This window comes from Homo sapiens, chromosome 17 (genome assembly GCF_000001405.40).
Source record: "Homo sapiens chromosome 17, GRCh38.p14 Primary Assembly".
Taxonomy (NCBI): Eukaryota; Metazoa; Chordata; class Mammalia; order Primates; family Hominidae; genus Homo; species Homo sapiens.
The window spans coordinates 31,408,997-31,433,586 of NC_000017.11; the positions used below are offsets into that span (position 1 = coordinate 31,408,997).

Sequence of the window (24,590 nt, forward strand, 5' to 3'; positions counted from 1 at the left end):
AGGGATGATGGACCAGATGAAACATGCACACAGACGGCCGCAGAGTTGATCCGGGCAGCCAGATGCAGCTAGCTGGGCTGAGGCTGTTCCCTGGCCCGTGTGTGGTCTTGGATGGTGGTGGAGCCAGTAGGGATAAGGGTTGGTAAGGGATGGTGGAGGCAGGACCCCATCATCCTTTCCTTATAATTTTTTACAGTGGAGAGACAGTAGCTTCCTACCATTAAGTACCTTGTCAGTACTTAGGTTTAGGTCAATATTCTTTTGCATATTAATAAAGACCACCCCCTCTCCGCTCCGTTCTCCTTTTGTTAGAGTCTTATTCAAGACCAGATGGTAAATTGTATCAAATGTCTTCCCAGCATCTATTAAATGTTTCAACGATGCTTGCTATTTTCCCAGTTGATGTAAAGAATTATGCTTGGAATGGATGAGTCTCCACTTGGCCAGGCCTGGTCAGGTGCCCATCCTCAGCGGCAGTCCACCCAAATCACAGAGAATGGGGAGGAGCAGCTCCCCAGAGGAAAATCAGGGTGCACTTACCAGGTGAGGGGCATTGCAACGTTGGGTAGAAAGAAACTCCAGATGTGTAGGAAAACTTAGCCTTTTAGCCCAAGCTCTCTTGGTTCCCACCCTGCACTCAAGGAGCAGGGAGGAGCATTTATTTCTGTGATTCTCCTGGCATGAGGACAGATGCTGGGTTTCTGCAGCCCTCTGCCTCCAACACAGGGTGTTGTACTGGTACACAGTACTGGGTTTATAGTGTGTAACAGGGGCACAGTGTTACTTAACCGACTGGGTGAGTAAACAAATAGAGTGCAAGGGGACCAGCCCGGAACCCAGGAGCCCCAGCTCCTCCTGAGCCCTGCCCCCAAAATCTTGTGATTTGGAAGCAAGTTCCTCTCTGCTTCTTGAGGCTGCTAGATGGTTTGGGAGGCAGGAGGGCTTTGTGATCAAGGACTCAGTGTCTGAACGGGTCAGAGGTCAACTCCCAGATTTCCAGCTTGCCGGCTCTATGACCTGGGATGGGCCTCTGTACTTCCTGGTGCCTCACCTGCGAAATTGGGATGCGATACTGTTCCCCTGAGAGGGTTCTCATGATGCTAATGAAAGAAGGAGGGTGAAGCACTTAGCACAGCCCTTGTGCATCCTAAGCCCTTTACCGAGAGGAGTTATTAGGGTGCACTCTGTGTCTTTGGGGATATTTAGAAGAGGAAGTTCTGCGCTGGTTATAGATTATTTGGGGCTCTTGTGGGGATAGGGATAAGTATCCAAGTCCATAAGTCACTGGGATTGTGCGCTTGCTGCTGCCACCACGTGGTCCCAGGATGATGAGGATGATGATGATGATGAAGGAGAAACATACCTGCACCTGCGGCTGCAGATACAGGGGTAAATTGAAAAGGTGGTATTGCATAGTAGAAAATAGTGCAAGTTGGGCTGGGTGTGGTGGCTCACGTCTGTAATCCCAGCACTTTGGGAGGCTGAGGTGGGCGGATCACTTGAGGCTAGGAGTTGGAGACCATCCTGGCCAACATGGTGAAACCCTGTCTCTACTAAAAATACAGAAATTGGCCAGGCATGGTGGTGCGCACCTGTAGTCCCAGCACTGCACCGAGGGGGCTGAAGGGGGCGGGGGCATGGTGTCACACCCTTGGAGGGGCTGGGACTGCTGTGGGCTGAGTCTGCCTGGGAAGGGGTGATGGCACAGCCCTTCTGTTTCCACTGTTGCTGCTGGGAATATTCCCACTGCCACCACCTAACCACCTTTCTGCCAGCCTCAGAGGGCATGTGCCAGCTCCAAGACCAGGGCCCTGGTTGAAGACCAGCTCCTGCCACTCCCTGCTGGGTGAGGTCCACCAGCCGCCCAATCTGGATTCCCCTCTCAGGGTCTCATCATCAGAATCTCCAGGGGAGGCCCTGGAAAATGCAGCTTCCAGGGTCCCACCCTGGTGAACAGGCTCTGCAGATCTGTGTTGAGATGACAGGATGAGAATCCCTCCCATCTTTCCACCCTGGATGGCACACGGTTTAATGGAGGATGCGTAGGCCCTGGATCAGAATGCCAGGCTCAAACCTCACTTTCCAGGCCGGGCGCGGTGGCTCACGCCTGTAATCCCAGCGCTTTGGGAGGCCGAGGCGGGTGGATTCCAAGGTCAACAGATCGAGACCATCCTGGCTAACATGGTGAAACCCCGTCTCTACTAAAAATACAAAAAAATTAGCCAGGCGTGATGGCGGGCGCCTGTAGTCCCAGCTACTCTGGAGGCTGAGGCAGGAGAATAGCGTGAACCTGGGAGGCAGAGGTTGCAGTGAGCCAAGATCGCACCACTTCACTCCAGCCTGGGCGACAGAGTGCGATTCCATCTCAAAAACAAACAAACAAACAAACAAACAAAACAACCTCGCTTTCCTCTCTTCTAGCCCAGAGATCCCAGCTAAGTCCCTGACTCTCTGGAGCTTTGGTTTTCTGGTTTATTAAGTGAGGCCAGTAACTTCCCTCCAAGGGCTCGCATGAGGATAAACCAGGGGAAGGGTGTGTAGGTGCCACACGCCTGAGTCCTTTCTGATACCCAGGACTCTGTTACACTGGTCCTCCACCCCAGGCCTCTGAGCTACTTTCTTTTGGGAAAGAGGTTTAAATTATAAATAAGGGCCTCAATCATGGATGAGGCCTCTTGCCTCCTGCCGTGCTTGCTGGAAAAGAACTTTGCCTCTGCAAAGAGCGTCTACAAAATGAGTAGACTCAAGACCTCCCCTGTGGCCCTTGGCCCTGCCATACGGGCCCTGAGGAATTTGCTGAGCTGCCTGGGGGTGCCTCCCATGAGGACAGCTACTCAGACTGCAGGGCGTCCTTCCGAGGAGAAGGTGCAGTTGCAGCAGAGAGGAAGCGAGGGCTAGAAAGCCTGAGACATAGACAGCCCCTCTGGCCATCGTCCTTGCCTCAGTCGGGGCTCTGGGAGGGCCGCAGCCAGGCTGGGTAGGACCGAGCATCTCATGAGGGGCCGTGTGAGGTTCACTTGTTCTGTTTGGGGATGCTGAGTTCAATCACCTGGGGAGCAGCTTGGTCCTGGGAGGACCCACCAGAATTTCTCCTCCCCAAGTGAGTGCATCAGTGCTGGCAGCTGAACCCACGAGCTGCAGGCAGGGGTGTGGAGCAAGTGAACCTAGACAGTTCATCCTCTAGGGGTGACTGCGCACACCACCACCCTCCTCTCACACAGATGCCGGTTTTGCCATGGAAATGGCCCATTTAATGTCCTGTGCAAGGGAGAAAAGCTCTAGATCCCCAGAGCAGGGGTCCCACCCGTGTCCAGCAAACAGAGGGAGGAAAGGGTATTCTGATCCAGCAGTTGGTCAAGCAATGTGGAAATGGAGCCCGCTCCCCCTTCACTTTAGTCCAGGAAAGCCTCCGGGTAAAAATGCTGACTCCAGCCTAACCTGTCTCAAACTTACGGATTTCAGAAACCTTTCTACATGTAACACATTGACACTCTCTAAGAAATGCCATCCTGGTGATCTTGGGTGAAGGACTCAACCTCTCTGGGTCCCACTTGCTTCATCAGTGAAACTGGAACCTTAATCCCCATCCTGCCCTGTCCCATCACAGGGACCACGGATAGGAAGGGGCGGGGCCACCTTAATCTCTGCTGCCCACAGAGCCTGGGAGCTCCTCTTGTCCCCAGCCCCTGGCTAGACCTGGCCCAGGAAATGTACGTGAACACCAGTGAGTCCCAGGGAGCAGGCAGACACCAGGCGCAGATAGGTTTCAGGTCCTCTGCCAGGGCTACAGGCTGCACCTCCCCTGGGATCCAAGTGGGGTTTCCGTGGTGGAGAGATTGACCAGTGGGCAGTGAGGTGAGGAGCAGTACCTGCCCCATTTCACAGGCAAAAAAACTGAGGCTCAGAGAGGTCGGGGTCTGCCAGGGCCTCATGGTACGTTTGAAATTCCATTATGGGATTCCCAGAACAAGTCGCCCTTCTCACTTGCCATCTTGTGTTGTACTGACAGCAACAGTGGAATTTCTGCCTGGAGCCACTGTATTTTGCTTTGTTTCTGTAGCTAAACCTCAATTTACTGAAAGGCCATGAGGTGTCCTGGTTAACTCATTTTCTGGGGAATGGAGGGAGGACTGGCGGGAGCTTTTCAGTTTGAGTCTAGTTGAAGTGTCAGAGCTGGGGAGCTCGGCATGTTTCGGATGGGGCGGGATAGATGGGTTAGAGGAGGCAGGGTCCAGGGACCACAGCTCAGAGTGGCCCAACTCCTGCAGGCCAGCACCCCCCTTTGATGAGCAGACATTCCCATGTAACCTTAAATAATGGGTCTAAAGCCAACCAAAGCCCACAGCGAGCAGCGCCTTTCAAACTATGCTGAGAGCCAGAGATGTCAACAGAGGGCCTCACACGGAGGGCACGGAGGGAGCTGTCCTTCCATAGGCCCCCCGAGAAGAGAGTGTCTTCCCTCTTCCCCCGCCCCCATATTTAGCCTCCCCCTGCCCTCCAGCCACTGAGAACAGCTGGTGGTTCCTCAGACCCTTCGAGCACCTCTACGGCCTGGCCTTGGCTACCCTCTCCCTCCTCCCTCCCTTTTGCTCACACCAACGCCCCGCTTCTTGAATTCCCATTCCCCACACCTGCTGTGTCAGTTCTTCCACCTGCAGTCCAGCATAACCCCCTCCTCCTCCAAGGCCCTTCCACATCTCCCAAGCCCTCTGGGCTGTCTGTCTCCTCTGGGCCCCAAAACTGCAAGGATTTGGGGTAACACCTTCGAGGGGGTTACATTGTGATGGATTCTGTCTTATCTTCCCCTACAGTGCTATCAGCAGTTTTTCAAAAGAGTCATAAGAGTTTCATTGAGTTTTTTTCCCCGAAGTTTAAAAATGATCCAGTTCATATTTTAAATTCAGCCAGTTAAAAATTGCTGGAAGAAGAGGTGCAACGACTGGCTGTCCCAGCTCATGAGGTTCACGGGTGTCCGCAGCTTCCTGACCAGCGTCCAGGCATGCTCTGCCTATGAAAGCCTCATTTATCCCGAGCCTGCTCTGTGTCAGCTGCCAGGCTGTCTTGATATGCCATCCCCTCTCAGTCCTAACACATGATGAGGCAATGATGTTGCTCAGGGAGGTTGAGTCATCCACCACTGGTCACACAGCTGGGAAATGGAGGAGGTGGGATTCCAGCTCAGCAATGTCTGCCTCCAGAGGCTGGGAGCCACGCTACCCTGCCTCTGGGCGTGTGGCAGTATTAACAGTCACCTACACACTTTTATGCTATTCCCGAGGCTATTTTTATTTCACTCAAAAATAACTCCAGGACATCTGTTCCTTCCCTGGGAGCTTCCTGGGAGCCTCTCTGTCTCCCCACAGGCCAGTCAGTCTGGCTGAAGAGCTGTGGAAACATTTGCAAAAGGAACGGACAGATGGGCGGATGCCTGCAGAGGCCAGTCCACTTCAGAGACCACCCAGGCTTCTGTCACTTTCGCTCCTATTCAGACCCCAAACAAAGCCCTTGTGGGTGGCCGGAGGGATTCTGTCAGCCCAGACTCAGGCTGTGAATGAGGGGCCACCTGATGACACTCAGATGGATGGAGGTGTTGGCGGTCCCATAAAGGAAGATGTCTCCAGCTGTGGCGGCTGGGACAGCGCTTCCCAGGAGGCGGTGGCCTGGGTACCATGTCACTGGGCCATGGTGCTGGCCAGCCCTCTGGATGTCTAGCCACCCTGGCCAGAGGCACTCCAAAGCCGCACAGGCCCTCTCCACCTCCCCTCCCATCACCACCTTTTATCCCAGTGGGTCCCTGAGGCGGGGTCCTTCATTGGGCAGGGGCCCTCCAGCTGTGAGAACCAGGAAGCAATGCAAAATAACTTACATGCTGAGGCAAGTGTATTCTTCCTTATAACACAAGGGTCCAAGGTAGGGCAGCTCCAGGGCTGGTTCCTCAGGGGCTCAGAGGCACCAGCTAGGACCCAATCCCCTTCCATTGAGCTTCCCAGCGTTGACCCAAGAGGGCATCCCTTCTCCAGCAGGGGAAGCAGGGAGGGGACAGCTTCCTGTTCATGGGCCCCACCCTCCAGAGACAGCCTCTCCCAGAGCCCCCTGCAGATGTCTTCTCATGGCTTATTGGCCAGAGATGTAGAACATGCCTTTGCCTGAACCAATCACTGGCAAGGGGGAAGAGCCCCCCGGAACTGGCTTGGTCCAGTCAGAACTCATGCTCCAGGTTGAGTGGCCCCAGGCACCTGGTCAGACAGGAGGTGGGCACCTCAGGCCCAGGGGGCGCTCTACGTGGACAAAGAGGAGGGGAGGGGCAGGATAGTGGTGACTGACGAATCTGCCTCCGTTCTTGTCATTATTTCTTGACTTTATAGAAGAGGGGAAGTAAAAGGCTCGGAAGAGAGGTTGAGTAATTCCCCAGGGCCACACCCACTCCAAGGTCCCCAAGCCATTTACTTGTTCCGTGGTGAAGCTCCAGTAAATGGAGGCATTTTTCTCCCAGTCCTCTGACCCCGTCTGCTTCTCCACTCTGGTTTTCTTCTCTTCCTCCCCCCAATCCCCATGCCCACCCCAAACATGCCTGAAAGCATTACGATCATAGAGACTTCAGAGCTGGAAGAGACATTCAATATTAATGTTATCCAGTGCTGTCATTGTCCAGATGGGGAAACTGAGGCCGAGAGAGGGGAAGGAGCTCAGCGAGACCACTCAGTAAAGCAGTCTGTGGTGGAGCTGGGACTGGATGGAGGGCCCAGGAAGCACAGCATCCCTGAGATTCTCAGAGGGTCTCAGGGACCACCCTACTTTCTCACCTCAGCCCCCCTGCGGACGGTCTCCGCAGCCTCCCAGCTGGCTGGTGGCCCCTCTGCCTGTCCCTTCCCGGGGGAAGGCTCACCCTCAGGCCCCCTTTATGCATCTTTGCACCTGGCACATCCATGGCACTCTGCAGCCTCTGATGTCCTTGACTCATAGTCTGATCTGATCGTCACAGCGGTCCTGTGAGCTGGTCGGAAGTGCATTATAGATACAGAAACTGAGGCCCAGAGAGGCAACAGGGCTTGCCCGAGGTCACGCAGTGGTACCTTATCGAAGCCCAGGCAGAGCCCGCTCTCTCGGCATGCGACCTGTGCAGTCACTCAGGGATTAGTGCTCTGGGGTTGCCTTCTTGAAATTCGTGGTAATGTTCCCCTTTGCCCTGGGCGCCACTAATTGCGGAGCTGGTCCTGGGCCCGGGGCTCCTGACTCCTCCAGGATGCTTTCCACAACCACATACCCCCTCTACCAGTGGCCTACCCAGGGTAAGTCTGACTGATTCCGTGGGACAGCCCTTCACATGGAGGGGAGCGGGCTTAGGGAGTGGGAGCAAGACAGTGGGATGTTTTGGCCTGGGCTCAGGGTGCAGGAACTGGAAGGACCCACTTTGGAAATGCCTCCCTCATCCCTTGTCTCAGGCCGGTGTTGCTGAAGTTCTTGCCTGGCTCCCTTCCCATCCTGGCCTCAGAATTAATGGAGAGGGCCAGTGGCGGCCTGTGCCCTTTGTCCCACCGGCCGGCCTGGGGGTGGCGGCTCCAGAATACAGGGTCCTATTGTGTGCCCTGATGTCAGGCAGCTGGACTGCTGGGAGTGAGGATAAACAAGCAGCTGGAGCATCTCGCCTGAAGCCCCAGGAGAGGGCCAGAGCCCCTGCAGCAGCAGGAGAAGGGGCCAGTCTGAAGAGGGACAGAGCTAGGGGCAGTTGGATTCCAACCCTGCCTGCTGTGCGGTGAGGCCAGCACAGCAACAGGGTCCACTGCTGTAAGAGGGGAATGACTGGCGGTTTGGCTACTTCACAGGGCTGCTGGGAGTGATGCACTTGAGTGCTTCGAAGGCTGCCTGACACCAGCCAGCTCTGCCGCTGTCAGCACTTGCCCCTGTGCTTCCTATCGCCCATATTCAGGATAAAGCACATACAGGCCCTTTGCCTGGCTCGTAAGCCCTTCTCTTTCAGGCCTGTTCCCTCTCTCTTTGGCCCCATCTCTTGATGACGCCCCCTCCCCATATTCCTTCCATCCACCCCAGACCCCCTGCGTTTGCCAGCATTGCCCCCTCTCCCTCTCCTGTTCCCTCTTGCTGCCCTTCACGTCCTTCCCCACTGTCCCCCTCACCTGGCCAGCTCCTAGCAGGAAACCCTGCAACTGGTCCTGGGATTTACGATGCCTCCGGTACCCCAGTGTCCTCACAGGTGTCTCCTGACTGTAAGGCCTCCAGAGTGGCCACCCCTGAGCAAGGATCTGGCCCCAGCACCTGCCTCACCTCCTCCAGAGGGTCCCTTCCCCAGAAGCACTGCCAGGGAAATCTAGGCTCCACGTGGGTTCAAAAGGCACTTCCCGGCCTGCTGCAGGGAGTCTCCAGGTGCCCAGACCTGCCACTGTCTTTGTAGGCCCCTCTCACCCCACAGGCACTGTCCTTTCCCCTCTTTTCCCATCTGTCTTCTATTGTGGCTGCTAAAACAGCATAAAAATGCTGGGGAGTTTCAACTTCACCCTACTCCAAGCCAAGCCCTGAAACCCCTTTTGTGGATATAGACGATGTCAGGTGCCCAGCCAAGCCCAGGTTAGTGCCTGGGGTAGCAGGAATTGCCACTCCGATGCCCATGGGGGCCAGGAAGGAATGCAGCCTAGGTGGGGCTGCGGTGGGGAACTACTTGAGATTTGGGGGTTCCCATAGACAGCTGGGGAGCAGAATACATTCCCTTTCTAAAGAGTGTGCTTGAATTCAGCTGTCGCTCATTGTTGCTGTGGGGGAATATGGGACCTGTATTGCCAGATCTGATTTTTCAAGAAAAGCCAGGGGCTGGGCATGGGGGCTATGCCTGTAATCCCAACACTTTGGGAAGTCAAGGCAGGAGGATCACTTGAGGCCAGGAGTTCAAGACCAACCTGGGCAACATAATGAGACCCCATCTCTACAAAAAATTAGCCAGGTGTAGTGGTGTATGCCTGTACTCCCAGCTACTTGGGAGGCTGAGTTGGGAGGATCCCTTCAACCTGGGAGGTCGAGGCTGCTGTGAGCTATGATCATGCCACTGCACTCCAGCCTGGGTGACAGTGAGACCCTGTCTATAACAAAAATAAAAATAGGCTAGGCGTAGTGGCTCATGCCTGTAATCCCAGCACTTTGGGAGGACAAGGCGGGCGGATCACCTGAGGTCAGGAGTTCGAGACCAGCCTGGCCAACATGGTGAAACCTCGTCTCTACTAAAAATACAAAAATTAGCTGGGTGTGGTGGCAGGCACCTGTAATCCCAGCTACTCAGGAGGCTGAGGCAGCAAAATCGCTTGAACCCGGGAGGCGGAGGTTGCAGTGAGCCGAGATCGCACCATTGCATTCCAGCCTGGGAGACAAGAGTGAGACTTCGTCTCAAAAAAATAAAATAAAATAAATAAAAATAAAAATTTAAAGTCAGATATCCAACTTTGTATGTGCAGTTCCCTTGATTTTTTTTTTTTTTTTTTGAGACAGGGTCTCACTGTGTCACTCAGGCTGGAGTGCAGTGGCACAATCACAGTTCACTGCAGCCTTGACTTCCCGGGCTCAGGTGATTCTCCCGCCTCAGCCTCCGAAGTAGCTGGGACTACAGGCGTGCACCACCACACCTGGCTAATTTTGTTCATTTTTTGCAGAGACAGGGTTTTGCCATGTTGCCCAGGCTGGTCTGGAACTCCTGAGCTCAAGCGATCCTCCTGCCTTGACCCACTCCCAAAGTGCTGGGGTTACAGCTGTGAGCTACCGTGCCCAGCCAGTTCCCTTGATTTTTAAAGAAAAATTTTAAAAAATTGTTTTTACTTTACATACAGTAAAATTCGCTTTTTGGGGGTGGGGGAAGAAGTGTCACTATTTACATAGACTCCTGTGACTCCCACTGCCATCAGGGACAGAACGGCTCATCCCCCAAATTCTCTCCGGCTGCTCCTTTGTCTTCAGTCCCTCCTCCTCGCTCTTGGCACCCACTGATCTGGCTTTGTCACTATGGTTTTGCCTTTTGCACGTAAATGGAATCATACAGTTTGTAACCTTTGGGAGTGGTTTCTTTCCCGTAGCATAATCATTTGTTCTTTTTGGTTAGGGAACACTTGCTTATCCATTCACTTGTTGAGAGACACTGGGGATGTTTCTAGGTTTGGGTGATTATGTGTAATGCTGCTGTGGACATTTTTGTGCAGTTTTGTGTGGGTGTGTGTGAATGTAAGTTTTCATTTCTCTAAGATAAGGAAGGATAAGGAAGTTCCCTTATATTTCTACTTTGTTGAGAGTTTTTTTGTTTTTTTTTTTTGGTATCATGAATGGATGTTAAATTTTGCCACTTGATTTCTCTGCATCTTTTGATAGGTTTTTCTTCTTTGGTCATGTTTAGATTACATCCATTAGTTTTCAAATGTTGGGCCAGCTTTGCTGAATAAACCCCATTCGGCTGCTTGTCTTGTTATATTTTTCATATATATCTCCTGGATTCGATTTGCTAATATTTTGCAGAGGCTCATTGCATCTGTGTTCATGAGGGATATTGGTTTGTAGTTTTCTTTTTTCTTTTTTTTTTTTTTTGAGACTGAGTCTCACTCTGTCGCCCAGGCTAGAGTGCAGTGGGGCGATCTCGGCTCATTGCAAGCTCCGCCTCCCGGGTTCACGCCATTCTCCTGCCTCAGCCTCCCGAGTAGCTGGGACTACAGGCGCCCACCACCATGCCCGGCTAATTTTTTGTATTTTTAGTAGAGACGGGGTTTCACTGTGTTAGCCAGGATGGTCTCGATCTCCTGATCTCATGATCCGCCCACCTCAGCCTCCCAAAGTGCTGGGATTACAGGCATGAGCCACTGCGCCCAGCAGGTTTGTAGTTTTCTTATATTGCTTTTGTTTGGTTTGGGTAACAGGGTATTATTGCTGGCCCCATAAAACGAGTTGGGAAGTGGCTCTTCTATTCTCTGGAAGAGGTAGTGTAGAATTTATGTATATTTTCCTTAAATACTTAGTGAAATTATCTGGTCCTGAGGTTTTCCTTTTTGGAAGGATATAAATTGGGAAATTAATTTCTTTAATCACTCAAGGACTGTTCAGATTATCTATTTCTTCTTGCATGAGTTTTGGTAGTTTGTGTTTTTCAAAGAATTGGTCCATTAGCTCATCTAAGTTGTAGAAATTATGTGTGTAGAAGTGTTTCTAGTGTTCCCTTATTAGCCTTTTAAAGGATGTAAGACTGTAATGATATCTCTGTTTTCTTTTTTTTCGAGACAAGGTCACACTCTGTCACCCAGGCTAGAGTGCAGTGGTGTAATCAAGGCTCACTGCAGCCTTGACCTCCCTGGCTCAAGCGATCCTCCCACCTCACCCAACCCCGGTAGCTGGGACCAGAGGCATGTGCCACCATGCTTGGCTAATTTTTTTAATCTTTTGTAGAGATGGGGTCTTGCTATGTTGCCCAGGCTGATCTTGAATGCCTGGTCTCAAGCGATCCTCCCACCTTGGCCTCCCAAAGTGCTGGGATGACAGGTGTGAGCCACTGTGCTCAGCCTCATTTTTTATATTGGTGATTTGTATTCTCTCTCTCTTTCTCTCTGTCATTCTGGTTAGAGATGCATCAGTTTTGTTAATCTTTTCAAAAAAAAAACCAGATTTGGGTTTTGTTGATTTTTCTCTACCAGTCTCATTTTTAATTTTATTAATTTCTGCTCTTATCTTTATTATTTCTTTCCTCCCTTTTGCTTTGGGCTTGAATTTTATGGTATTGTATTTTCATTTTCATTTAGTTTAAATTATTTTTATTTTCTCTTGAGACTTTGGGGCTGGGTGCGGTGGCTCATGCCTGTAATCTCAGCACTTTGGGAGGCCGAAGGGGGTGGATCACCTGAGGTCGAGAGTTCAAGCCCAGCCTGACCCATATGAAGAAACCCCATCTCTACTAAAAAATACAAAATTAGCCAGGCATGGTGGTGCATGCCTGTAATCCCAGCTACTCGGGAGGTTGAGGCAGGAGAATTGCTTGAACCCGGGAGGCAGAGGTTGCAGTGAGCCGAGATCACGCCATTGCACTCCAGCCTAGGCAACAAGAGCAAAACTCCATCTCAAACAAACAAACAAACAAAAAGATACTTCATCTTTGACTCATGAATTATTTAGACACATACTGCCTAATTCCCAAGTATTTGAGGATTTTTCAGATGCCTTTCTGTTTTTGATTTTTTTGCTTGTTTTAAAATTTCTTTTCTTTTCTTTTTTTTTGAGACAGTCTCGCTCTGTTGCCCAGGCTGAAGTGCAGTGTGTGATCTCAGCTCACCGAAATCTCCATCTCCCAGGTTCAAGTAATTCTCGTGCTTCAGCCTCTCAAGTAGCTGGGATTATAGGCACAGGACACCATGCCCAGCTAATTTTTGTATTGTTAGTAGAGATGGGGTTTCACCATGTTGCCCAGGCTGGTCTTGAACTCCTGACCTCAAGTGATCCACCTGCCTCAGCCTCCAAAAGCTCTGGGATTACAAACGTGAGCCACTGAGCCCTGAGACTGATTTTTAGTTTAATTATATTATAGTCACAGGACTTTTTTTTTTTTTTTTTTGAGACAGAGTTTTGCTCTTGTTGCCCAGGCTGGAGTGCAATAGCGCAATCTCGGCTCACTGCAAACTTCGCCTCCTGGGTTCAAGTGATTCTCTTGCCTCAGCCTCCCTAGTAAGCTGGGATTACAGGTGCCCACCACCACGCCCAGCTAATTTTTTGTATTTTTAGTAGGGATGGGGTTTCACTATGTTGGCCGGGCTGGTCTCAAACTCCTGACCTCAGGTGATCCACCTGCCTCAGCCCCTCCCAAAGTGCCAGGATTATAGATGTGAGCCACCACGCCCGGCAAGACATACATTTATAATTTCAGTTTTTAAAAATTTGTTGCCAGACTCTGTGGCTCATGCCTGTAATCCCAGCACTTTGGGAGGCTAAGGCAGGAGGATCTCTTGAGGCCAGGAGTTCGAGACCAGCCTGGGCAACATAGTGAGACCCCCCGTCTCTACAAGAAAATTAGCTGGGCGTGTTGACATATCCCTGTAGTCCCAGCTACTCGGGAGGCTGAGGTGGGAGTATTGCTTGAGTCTGGGAGGTGGAGGCTGCAGTGAGCTATGATCACACCGCTGCACTCCAGCCAAGGTGACAGAGTAAGATCCTGCCTCCCCACCACACACAAAAAAAGTATTATAGTTTGTTTAATCGTCCAAGATATGATCTACATGATCTACCTTGGTGACAGTTCCATGTTTACATGAAGAGAACGTGTATTCTGCTATTCTTGGGTGGTGTGTTCGATAAACATCAATTAGGTTAAGCTGGTTAGTGGTGGTATTCAGACCTTTTAGATCCCTTGTTGATTTTTCATCTAACTAGCTCTACTGTTAAAAATTAGATTTTCTATCTAACTGGTTATATTCTCTAGAGGAGTGTTGAAGTCTCCAACTATGATTGTCAATTTGTCTATTTCTCCTTTCAATTTTATTAGTTTGGCTTCATGTATTTTGAAGCTCTGTTTTTAGGGACATATGCATTTAGGATTGTTATGTATCTTCTTGGTGAGTTGACCCTTTAATATAATGTTTGTCTGAATCCTTGGTAATTTTCCTTGTTTGGATTAGGCAATTTCTGTTGTTCTATCACTGTTTGTACTGTGATTTCCGTTCTGCTATTGATCCAATCCAATGAACTTTTATTTCATATATTGTATTTTTTAGTTCTAAAATTTCCATTTGGTTCCTTTTTTCTAGCATCTATTTTTCTGCAAGAATTTCGAAATTTCCATTTATTTCGGATTGTTCACCTTTACTGAACCATGGAGCATGGTTATAATAACTTTTTTAAAGTCTTTGTCTAATAATGGCAACATCTGGGTCATCTTAGCATTGGTATCTATCTATTGATTGCCTTTTTTTTTTTTTTTTTTTTGAGACGGAGTCTCGCTCTGTCACTCAGGCTGGAGTGCAGTGGCACGATCTCGGCTCACTGCAAGCTCTGCTTCCTGGGTTCATGCCATTCTCCTGCCTCAGCCTCCTGAGTTGCTGGGACTACAGGTGTCTGCCACCACGACCAGCTAATTTTTTGCATTTTTAGTAGAGACGGGGTTTCACCATGTTAGCCAGGATGGTCTCTATCTCCTGACCTCGTGATCCGCCCGCCTCTGCCTCCCAAAGTGCTGGGATTACAGGCGTGAGCCACCGCGCCCAGCCTTTTTGTCTTTTGTCTTGTACATTGTTGTCAGCTTTTCCTGTTTCTTTGTATGTCAAGTAATTTTGGACTGTGTCTTGGACATTTGGAATACTGTAAGACACTGGGGCCTGTTAAAATCCTCTGAAGAATGTCAGTTTTTTCTTTGTTTGTTTATTCGTTTGTTTTTGAGACAGGGTCTTGCTCTGTCACCTAGGCTGGAGTGCATTGGCATGATCATGGCTCACTGCAGCCTCAACCCCCTGGCCTTAAGCAATCCTCTTACCTTAGCTTCCTAAAGCCTTAGGGTTACGAGCATGAGCCACTGTGCCCAGTCTGTTTGTTTGCTTTTTAAATCAGTTAGGTTGACGCCTCAGATCCCAACCTGCCCTCTGTGAATTATAGTTTCAATGTCAGTTCAGTTTTCAAAGCCTTTGCAGTGCTATTCAGATCCACCCCAAGTATACATACTCCAGGGGCCAGTCTGTTCAGTCTACACTGTAGTTCAGTTCTCAGAGTCTTTGGTAGGTTATTTGGGGTCAGTTCCATGTATGTGCAGCTCAGGAGTAGGCTAGGACCTCAAATACAACAACTTTATGGGATCATATTCTCAAGCTCCCTTCTTTCTGTGATGCCGCCCTATCCAGCTTCCAGGGGCCCCTTTTTCTCATTTTTTTCCAGGTAAAAGATTTTCCCTTTCTCGGAGTTTTAGGTCCCCCTGTGTGACTGCTACGGCTGCTGCCACCACCTAACCTTTGGGACAGGTTTTACCTTGTAGGGAGGGGGCTGGGAGAGAAAAAAGACCCAGGGCACTTCTCCCACTCGATTTTTCCCAGGAGGCCCCCCTTTCCCGGCTTCTCATCAGAAAGAGAGTTTCTTCCGTAGCTTTTTCTCTGTGCACCTGCTGCACAGTTCTGGGATTTGGGCTCCTGAGTCTAGGTCAGGAAATATGCAAGCTCACCACCGTATTCATCTTACTTAACGTTTTTGTTTTCCTCCCCAATTCACCTTCCACTATTCACTTTTCACAGTCCTTGTGTAGTTGTTTTATGTCTTCTGTCAGGGTTTTTAGTTATAATCAATGGGAAAGCTAGACTGTAGTGTGCTTACTCCATCTTAACCAGAACCAGGAGGCTTGCTTGGCTTTAAATATTGGCATCTAATTTTAAGTCTGTCCTCAAGCCACATCTGAGATGCTAGCTGGCCACCTCTGCTTTAGTGGCACAGTGTCTCAAAATTAATTTTTCTTTCTTTTTTTCTTTTGAGATGGAGTCACAATCTTGGCTCATTGCAACCTCCCGCCTCCTGGGTTCAAGCAATTCTCCTGCCTCAGCCTCCCCAGTAGCTGGGACTACAGGCGCGCACCACCACACCCAGCTAATTTTTTTTTTTTTTTTTGAGGCGGAGTCTCGCTCTGTTGTCCAGCCTGGAGTAGAGTGGCACGATCTCGGCTCACTGCAACCTCCGCCTCCCAGGTTCAAGTGATTCTCCCACCTCAGCCTCCCAAGCAGCTGGGATTACAGGTGTACACCACCACACCCTGCCTAATTTTTGTATTTCTAGTAGAGATGGGGTTTCACCATGTTGGCCAGGCTGGTCTCGAACTCCTGACCTCAGGTGATTCACCCATCTCGGCCTCCCAAAGTGCTGGGATTACAGGTATGAGCCACTGTGCCTGGCCTAATTTTTCTTTTAATACTCAAATTCTTAAGCAAAAGTTGTCAGTACCAATGCCAGTTTTTCTAGATTAAAAGAGAGCAGAATACAGATTTATTCTTTCTCTGGTCAGAGCAAGCCCCTAAACCTGTCAGCATAATAATAGTGATTGCAATTATTTTAGCAGAAATAATAATTACTGGCTAAGGGCATGGAGTCTGGAACCAGGCCTCTTGTGTTCAGCCGTCTTCTACGAACTGTGTGACCTTAATTCTGAATGACTTTGCCTTTCTATGTCTCAGTTTCCTCCCCTGTAAAATGGGAATAATAATGGTATCTGCTTCCCAGGTGGTGGCGAGGATTAAACAAATTCATATGCATAGAGCGCTCAGAACAGTGCCTGGCACAAAGGAAGGCTCGCTAAGCATTTGCTTTGATTCCCGTGAGTAATGGCTGACGTTTATTAGGCACCTTGCCTTGCAGACAGCTTCACAGCGGCAAGATAAGCCGGCTTATCTCACTTGCTCAGATGAGGCAGCTGAGATTTCAGAAAGGCAAATGGCTTGCTTGAGTCCATCTGGCCTTCAGACCTTGAAATTAGGGAGGCGTGGGTGGCTGGGCATGGGTTCAGGGAGTATCTGGCTGGTAATCAATCAGACAGCAACGGCAACGAAGCTTTTTAACATCATCTGGTCTGAGCTAGAAGAGATGTGACCCAGGGGACTGAGTGGGGGGAAAAAATCAGCTCAAAGAGAAAGGCAACAGAAATAGAAGGGGAAGCCTGGTAATTGAGTGGCCCCAAAAAGGAAAGATCAATATTTTACTTCCAGTGAACAACCAATTTCCCTGGCAGCAAGCTGGGGCCCAGCTGTGTGTGCTTCAGTGACAACAGCTGCTTCTGCAATGCCTGCCAGGCCTGGCGAACCCGTCTCTCCTGGCCTGGGAGCCAGAGGGGGAGCCCCAGGGCTGCCCAGCCACGCATGGTGTGTGCCCCAGGGTGGGGGCGGCCCCCAGCTCCCCTGCCTGGGGCCCAGGCTCCCCACGAAGACCACATGGGGTGGCTATTTGCTATGCTCCCTGCGTGACCTTGAGCAAACCCCTCCCCCCGCTGGGACCTCGCTTCACCAACTGTGAAATGACGGGCTGGGTCAGTGGAATGTGTCTGGCCGAGGACCATCTGTGGCAAAAGGTTACCTGATGTCCAGGAAGGTCGAGACTCTTTGTGATCCAAGGCGAGGGGTCCCCACGTAGTGAGTAAAGCTTCTTTGATGCTCAGGGCGCCAGGGGATAGAAAGAACACTTTAGTGCAGACAGCCCCGTGAGAGTCTCTGGCCCAGGAAGGCAACAGGGAGCAGTGGCTGACTCTCTGGGGTCAGTAAGACCTGGGTTCAAGAGTTGCCACTACAGGTGGGCAAAAATTTTAAATTTAAAAAAAGGAAAATAAAAGGGGAGCGTTACCACTGCAGTGACTTTGTCTAAATGTCTTACCCTCTCTGAGCCTCAGTCTCCTCAATTTAAAATGGGGGACTATAATAATAGCTACTGTTAAGTTTGCTGTGAGGATTAAATGAGACTATGTGTGAACCCTCCGTGGACTCCAAGCATTTGCAATACTTCTCCACATAAATGATGCTGTTATTTATTTTAAAAATCACTGAGCCTGTGGTTGATGGTATGTATTGGTAATAACCAGCATGCATTGTTCTAATAATTTCACACCTGTTTTCTTTTTTTTCTTTTTCTTTTCCTTTTTTTTTTTTTTTTGAGACGGAATTTTGCTCTTGTTGCCCAGGCTGGAGTGCAATGGCACCATCTTGGCTCACCGCAACCTCTGCCTCCCGGGTTCAAGCGATTCTCCTGCCTCGGCCTCCCAAGTAGCTGGGACTACAGGTGCACACCACCATGCCCAGCTACTTTTTCTTGTATTTTTAGTAGAGACGGGGTTTCACCATGTTGGCCAGGATGGTCTCAATCTCTTGACCTAGTGATCTGCCCACCTTGGCCTCCCAAAGTGCTGGGATTACGGGCGCCAGGCACCACGCCCAGCCCAATTTCACACTTGTTTTCTAAAGGGCAGGACATCAGTGTGCCTGGCCATTTTTGTTTTTTGTTTTTTGTTTGCTTTGAGACGGAATCTTGCCCTGTCACCCAGGCTGGAGTGCAGTGGCACAATCTCGGCTCACTGCAACCTCCACCTCCCTGTTTCAAACGATTCTCCTGCCTTAGCCTCCCTGAGTAGCTGGGACTACAGGTACACATGACCACGCCTGGCTAATTTTTGTATTTTTAGTAGAGACAGGGGTTTCTCTATGTTGGCCAGGCTGGTCTCGAACTCCTGACCTCAGGTGATCCACCTACCTCAGCCTCCCGAAGTGCTGGGATTATAGGCATGAGCCACTGCGCCCGGCTGGCCTGGCACTTTTGTGGCCACTACTCTGGGGCTGCCACTCTTTGAAGAGCCCTGTGGGAGCAGCTGTAGAGAGGTCACAGCCTGGGGTGTGCCCCCGGTTGCAGCTTGGGCCATGGCGTGGGTGCTTCGGGGACCATGCAGTGGCCCTCAGTACCCCATCTGTCTGCCTGTCATCAAACAACCCCACCCCCACCTCTGTCCCAGGTAGGCTTTTGCTGGCAGAGGAATGGACAGCTCGCCCCACCAGTGTCTCCCAGCCTCAGGGAGCTGTGGACACAGGGATTACAGAATCCAAATCCCTGCACTCCTGCCTCCTAGGTGGACTTGAGGTGAGGGTCCTCATCAGTCAGTCAGCACTCTGTGGCCGACTCCACCCTTGACTTGCTTCAGAAATAATGAAGGCAGAGCCCTGACCTTGGAGAGGACTGTAGGCCTGAGCATGGGAGGCTGGAGGGTAGAGGGTGCCCTGGCTCATCCCCACATTCACAGGCCCCCTATAATGCCAGCGATGCAAAGGCAGGAGGAGAGGAGGCGGAATGCCAGCCAGGATGGTGGGTGGGCTCCCCTGCAGCCCTGCAGGTGGCACCTGGGCATTGCTATTCTCAGAAGCCACGTCATTGCCTGGCAGTGTCAGAGGCTGGCATGGCTGGGGGGAGGGGGCAGCTGCAATGTTGAGGAGGCTGGCAAAAAGCCACTTTCCTCCTTTACTGAAATTTTGCAGGTCTTTCCTGAGAGCCCACTAGGTACCAGGTTCAGGGAGGTTCACAGAAAGAATGTGGCACGGCCCCTCTGCCCTTCCCTCACCCCAGACTCACCCCAGAGTGGAAAAGCAGGGTCAGCTGGAATCAAGATGCAAGCACAGAGCCGCCAGGTTCCAGGCAAGGAGAAGATGGTTAGGGTGGGGCCTCTTTGTCCACTGCTCACCTTCCAAAGCCCACTGGGCACAGCCCCCATGGTGCCAGGCCACCGGCAGTGACCAGGGCTTCAGACCCCTGCTGCAGCTGCCACGCTGTGGGCATGCAAGAAAAACGTGGTCCCTATAAATAGATGAATCCCCAACGTGGTTTGGCTTCGGTGCCTGTGATGGGTGGTGTGGTATGCCGGCGAGTCTGCCTGTGATGGCGTGAACACTGACAACAGTGACTGTGAGCAGTTTCCTGCATGCTGTGCTCTGCAGGCCCCGGGTGCCCTCAGATCCATCATCTGCAGCCCAGCCTGAGCAGATTCTGGAAAGAGCTCATCCTGGCCTGGCTGTGCTATAGATACTGATGGTGATTATTAGGGGGAGCGGCAAGATGCCTGACAAGGAGTGTGAGCGTGTACACATGTGTATGCACTATTGTGTATGTGTGGCTAGCCAGCAGAACCAGCACCTACCACCATCAACCCCTGAAAGAGTGCCTGGCATGTAAGAGGTGCTCAGTCATCACTTGTTGAATAAGTGAGTGAATGAATGAATGAATGCTTGTATGGGTGCTGTGGGAGGGCTGCCACTAAGTTTTAGAAGCAGTTTTAGATTTAGAAGCAGGCTTCTGAGCCAGGCGTGGTGGCGTGCCTGTAGTCCCAGCTACTTGGGAGGCTAAGGTGGGAGGATCCCTTGAGCCCAGGCATTTGAGGCTGCAGTGATCTATGATCATGCCACTGCACTCCAGCTTGGGCAATAATGTGAGGACATGGCTCTTAAAAAAAAGTTGTTATTATTATGATGATGATGATGATTATTATTATTATTTGAGACGGAGTTTCACTCTTGTCACCCAGGCTGGAGTGCAGTGGCGCGATCTTGGATCACTGCAACCTCCACCTTGAAGGTCAGAGGTTCTCCTGACCTTGGAGAGGATTGTAGGTGTGAGCAAAAACAAATATTATGAAGCCTCTACTATGTACCAGTCACGGTGCAAGCGACCAGGTATACAGTGGTGATCAGAATGGACAGGGTCCTTGCCCTTAGGGAGCTTACTTTGTAGAGAGAAGATATAAATTAATCAAATTATCCCACACACATACAACTACATGAAAGAGTATGGAGAAACTAAGGCTAAGGCTTTCTGCAGTGAGGTCGGGAGATACTCACACCTGCTAAAGTTCAAACCACACAATATCCCAATAGACTTGGGTGTGCAACCGAAGTCATGATCTGCCAGTCTCCAGCATTTCTCAGCTGCGAGTGCCCTGACTAGCTCACCAGTCAGAAAGGCTTTGCAATCTAGGATTTCTGCCCAGCCAATGAGCTGCCTCTGAAAACAACTTTCTGTGGAAATCCTCCGTAAAAATTGGTCTCCTGGCTGGGCGTGGTGGATCACGCCTGTAATCCAAGCACTTTGGGAGGCCAAGGTGGGCAGATCACCTGAGGTCAGGAGTTGGAGACCAGCCTGGCCAACATAGTGAAACAGCCTCTCTACTAAAAATACAAAAATTACCTGGGCATGTTGGCGGGCGCCTGTAATCCCAGCTACTCAGGAGAGGCTGAGGCAGGAGAATCTCTTGAACCTGGGAGGCGGAGCTTGCAGTGAGCTGAGATTGCGCCACTGCGCTCCAGCCTGGGCAACAGAGCGAGATTCCATCTCAAAAAAAAAAAAAAAAAAAAAAGAATCCTTCCTCCACTTGCCTCCTGGGATGCTCTTCGGGGCTGTCCTGATCCCGTGTACCTGAATTGCAATTCTTTGTTTCCCAAATAAACGCTATTTCCTTTGACCTCCATGTCAATCTCTTTTTAGTTAACAATAGCAAGTTGCAACAAATTGTTTGAAGGGAAAGTATAGGATGCTACAAGACAGGATAGCAGCGGGGTGGGCCCTGATTGGATGGGGGTGGTCAGGACAGACCTGTCTCAGGGAGGGACGTTTCATAGAGGTACAAAGGGAGACCTGAAGGATGAACTGACATGGCGAATGGGGAGGACAGCTGTCCAAGTTGTAGGGAATAGCATGTGCAAAGGCCCTGGGGCAGAGAAGAGTGTGGTGGTTTCCGTGAGGAGCTGACCAAAGGCCAGTGCAGCTAGAGTACAGTGAGTGATGAAGAGCATGGGAGGAGAGGGAGTGGAAGGGGTCAGATCACATGGGGCCTTGTGGGCCGTGTTGTGGAGTTTGGATTTTTTTTTTTTTTTTTTTTTTTGAGACAGAGTCTTGCTCAGTCGCCCAGGCTGGAGTGCAGTGGCGTGATCTCAGCTCAATGCAACCTCTGCCTCCCAGGTTCATGCCATTCTCCTGCCTCAGCCTCCCGAGTAGCTAGGACTACAGGCGCCCGCCACGACGCCCGGCTAATTTTTTTTGTATTTTTAGTAGAGATGGGGTTTCACCATGTTAGCCAGGATGGTCTCGATCTCCTGACCTCGTGATCTACCCGCCTCGGCCTCCCAAAGTGCTGGGATTACAGGTGTGAGCCACCGCGCCCGCCCTGGAGTTTGGATTTTTATCCTAAGTGTGGTGGAATGATACTGGAAGGTTTTAAGCAGAGGAGTGGGTGACACGATCCAGTTAGACTTGCATGATCCAGGAGAGACAGGATGATGGCTATGACCAGGTGGGGCTCCTGAGAGGTGTGGGAAATGAGGGAGCTGTGGGATACAGTGGGAGCATGGATTGAATGTGAGTGACAGTGAGCAGACGCAGTGATGCTGAAGAACCCTGCAGTGGCAGGAAGGGAGGGAGGACGGGGTCAGGGAGTGGGACATTTGATGGGTGGTATTGGAGGGGGTGATCACTGGGTTGACCAAGGGACTTGGTGCCTGAGGTGGAATATGAGGCAAAAAGAAAGTCAAGGATCTGAGAGGCCGGGGGTTGATGGGTCATCCACACAGCTGCAGGAACCCCCAAAGATGAATTGTAAAAGCAAAAAGCTGGAAATAACCAAAATGCCCAGCTATTAGGGGTGGTGAAGTAAATTATGATGAACCCACCGGGCAGAATGTGTTACAGCCACTAACAACGTGGGTTGTACACACCAAGCAGCATGGAAACTGTTTCTGTCCTACCTCCTGTTACACGGGAGAGAAACTCTCCAACCTCAGGGATGGCTGACTCTGCCAGGTGAAAACTTACTTCCTTATTCATCTAACACTCTTCATTGAAGTGCAAGGTACAAATAGAACAGAAAAGTTCATCAGCCACCAGTGTCCATCTCAGTGAGTTTCCCCATCTAGCCAGCACCTGGAACAAGAAATAGAACAAGAGAAATGGTGGGATTTCTGGGTCATTTACAATGAGTTTGTGTCTGTTTTGTGTGAAAGAAACCAATTTTAAAACATCGGCAGAGCCTCGGCTTTCATTGTGCAGTCCCTGGGGGAAGGAGGCTCGGCCCCTGAAGCCGTGTGCTCAGGGAGGGTGTGCTCAGGGAGGAGCCGGTGTTGGCTCTGCTTTTCTTTGCCCGAGTTGTCTGTCACCATGGGGAGAATAAAGTGGCCCCATGGCTGATACTGACCCCAGGGTGAGGGTAAGAGGACTGGGCGGGGACACTGGTGTCCCTCCCTCCCTCCCAGCCTCCCCACCCAGCTCCCTGAGTCTTCGGGAGATCCTTGGGTGTCTCACACCTGTCCCTGCTTCATTCCCACAGGTGGAAAAACTTGTGAAATATTTGGATCCCAACGACCTGGGGAGAATCAACTTCAAGGACTTTTGCCGGGGGGTGTTCGCCATGAAAGGTGAGGTCTTCCCGGGAGGCTTTCCCAGGCGCTCTCCGGTCCTGCCCAGCTGGGGAAGCTGGTGTGACTGGGGGCCCAGCCTGGATTCCTCCCCACAGGGGTCCCAGAGCCCAGGATGGGCCAGAAGTCGGTTCTGCCTCTGGCTTCCGGGGGGGCCAGAGGAGAAGGACACTGTTGCCCCAGCCGTGGGGGGCTGTGGTCTCACCCATGGAAGTCACTTCTGCCCTTCCCCTTGTCTGCCCGCCTCTGGAGAAAGCCTCCTTCCCTGCTTTTCTGTCCTCTTCCTCTCTCTCCCGCTCTGGGGTGACCAAACCCAGTGAGTCTCCTGGGATGTGGGAGGGACTCCACTTTTAAGACCAGGGCAGTCCTGGGCAAACCTGGACAAAGCGCTGGTCACATGACTGCCCGCCTCCCTCTGAGCTGCTGCTTTTGTGTCCTCCCTGCTCCCGCCTCCTCTTTTTTTTTTTTTTTTTGAGACAGGGTCTGGCTTTGTCGCCCAGGCTACTGGAGTGCAGTGCCACTATCATGGCTCCCTGCAGCTTCAACCTCCTCGGCTCAAGCAATCCTCCTGCCTCAGCCTCCTGAGTAGCTGAGACTACAGGAGGTACACCACCATGCCTGGCTAATTTTTGTATTTTAAGTAGAGATGGAGTTTTGTCACGTTGTCCAGCCTGGTCTTGAACTCCTGAGATCAAGTGACCCTCCCATCTCAGTCTCCCAAAGTTCTGGGATTACAGGCATCAGCCTCCATGCCCTGCCCTCTCTTCCTCTTAATTCTTCCTAATTCCTGCCTTTCTTCCTTGCCCCTGCTTCCAGTTTTAAGGGGACAATATAAATCCCTCTGTCTTGTCCCAAAAATTCAAAGGCCAGTTGTGAGAAACTTGCAGGAATCAGAATATGGCCACTCACTTACTACTAAGCTGTTTATCTGAGACAGTGAGGGCCAGGCACGGTGGCTCACACCTATAGTCTCAGCACTTTTTGGGAGGCCGAGGCAGGCGGATTGCTTGATCTCAGGTGGATCACTTGAGTCCAGGAGTTTGAGACCAGCCTGGCCAACATGGCGAAACCTCATCTCTACAAAAAATACAAAAAATTAGCCGGGCATTCTGGTGTGTGCCTGTGGTCCCAGCTACCTGGGAGGCTAAGGTGGGAGGATCACCTGAGCCCAGGAAGTTGAGGCTGCAGTGAGCTGAGGTCACGCCACTGCACTCCAGCCTGGGTAACAGAGTAAGAACCTGTCTCAAGAAAGAAAAAAATCTGAGACAGTGGCATAGGTCACCAGCCAGGTGGACTTGCTAAGGCCTCCCCACTAGCTGCAGAGAGAATGCAGTCACTTCTGGAGTCCCAGGGTGTCTGCTTATCTGTGAAGGAAGCCATGGTTTCCTGTCTGCGGCTCAGATCAAGTTTAGCCCTTTTCTGTGGGGTGCCTATGAGTCCTGGGAGGGTGGAACGATGCAGGGTGAGGGATGAAGGGAACCAAATACACGGTGCAGGGGGCACAGAACACAGAAGGTGCCCAGGGAAGGTTTTCTGCGTGGATTTGACAATGGGCCACTGCAGGCTGCACCTGCCATGTGCCTGTGCCAGGCATTTTGTCAGGTCCCCCTCCCAGTTCAGTACAACCTTGGGGCGTTTGGTTGGGATCTCAGGAGCGAGGCCAGCCGTGTACAGAGTCAGCAGGAA

General features: G+C 51.1%; 1 protein-coding gene and 2 long non-coding RNA genes across 3 annotated transcripts in view, besides 6 other annotated features; 1 reads left to right on the plus strand and 2 right to left on the minus strand.

Moving 5' to 3' along the window:
* RAB11FIP4 (RAB11 family interacting protein 4) overlaps positions 1 to 24,590 on the plus strand; it is a 146,537-nt gene that overhangs the window by 17,322 nt on the left and 104,625 nt on the right. The window contains exon 2 of the mRNA NM_032932.6: positions 22,817 to 22,904. Within this exon, the coding sequence (NP_116321.2) occupies positions 22,817 to 22,904 (88 nt within the window). The remainder of the gene's footprint in view (positions 1 to 22,816; positions 22,905 to 24,590) is intronic.
* Positions 2,457 to 3,422: an enhancer, noted in NCBI's record as "H3K4me1 hESC enhancer chr17:29738471-29739436 (GRCh37/hg19 assembly coordinates)". NCBI's record gives its function as "activates a minimal SCP1, AML or CMV promoter by ChIP-STARR-seq in naive H9 embryonic stem cells {active_cell/tissue: H9 hESC(naive)}" and the evidence as "EXISTENCE:reporter gene assay evidence [ECO:0000049][PMID:30033119]".
* On the minus strand, positions 5,261 to 6,104 carry LOC124903977 (uncharacterized). Its single transcript, XR_007065706.1, has 2 exons — positions 5,867 to 6,104; positions 5,261 to 5,385 (listed from the first exon to the last, which is right to left on the minus strand). It is a non-coding gene; the product is annotated as an uncharacterized LOC124903977 (long non-coding RNA).
* Positions 5,353 to 6,316: an enhancer, noted in NCBI's record as "H3K4me1 hESC enhancer chr17:29741367-29742330 (GRCh37/hg19 assembly coordinates)". NCBI's record gives its function as "activates a minimal SCP1, AML or CMV promoter by ChIP-STARR-seq in naive H9 embryonic stem cells {active_cell/tissue: H9 hESC(naive)}" and the evidence as "EXISTENCE:reporter gene assay evidence [ECO:0000049][PMID:30033119]".
* Positions 6,792 to 7,632: an enhancer, noted in NCBI's record as "H3K4me1 hESC enhancer chr17:29742806-29743646 (GRCh37/hg19 assembly coordinates)". NCBI's record gives its function as "activates a minimal SCP1, AML or CMV promoter by ChIP-STARR-seq in primed H9 embryonic stem cells {active_cell/tissue: H9 hESC(primed)}" and the evidence as "EXISTENCE:reporter gene assay evidence [ECO:0000049][PMID:30033119]".
* Positions 7,633 to 8,472: an enhancer, noted in NCBI's record as "H3K4me1 hESC enhancer chr17:29743647-29744486 (GRCh37/hg19 assembly coordinates)". NCBI's record gives its function as "activates a minimal SCP1, AML or CMV promoter by ChIP-STARR-seq in naive and primed H9 embryonic stem cells {active_cell/tissue: H9 hESC(naive and primed)}" and the evidence as "EXISTENCE:reporter gene assay evidence [ECO:0000049][PMID:30033119]".
* Positions 15,923 to 16,650: an enhancer, noted in NCBI's record as "OCT4-NANOG-H3K27ac-H3K4me1 hESC enhancer chr17:29751937-29752664 (GRCh37/hg19 assembly coordinates)". NCBI's record gives its function as "activates a minimal SCP1, AML or CMV promoter by ChIP-STARR-seq in primed H9 embryonic stem cells {active_cell/tissue: H9 hESC(primed)}" and the evidence as "EXISTENCE:reporter gene assay evidence [ECO:0000049][PMID:30033119]".
* On the minus strand, positions 16,288 to 17,120 carry LOC105371725 (uncharacterized). The gene is made up of 2 exons (XR_934661.3): positions 17,050 to 17,120; positions 16,288 to 16,554 (listed from the first exon to the last, which is right to left on the minus strand). It is a non-coding gene; the product is annotated as an uncharacterized LOC105371725 (long non-coding RNA).
* Positions 16,321 to 16,521: a silencer, noted in NCBI's record as "peak2797 fragment used in MPRA reporter construct". NCBI's record gives its function as "represses an SCP1 promoter by STARR-seq MPRAs in K562 erythroleukemia cells {active_cell/tissue: K562}" and the evidence as "EXISTENCE:reporter gene assay evidence [ECO:0000049][PMID:32103011]".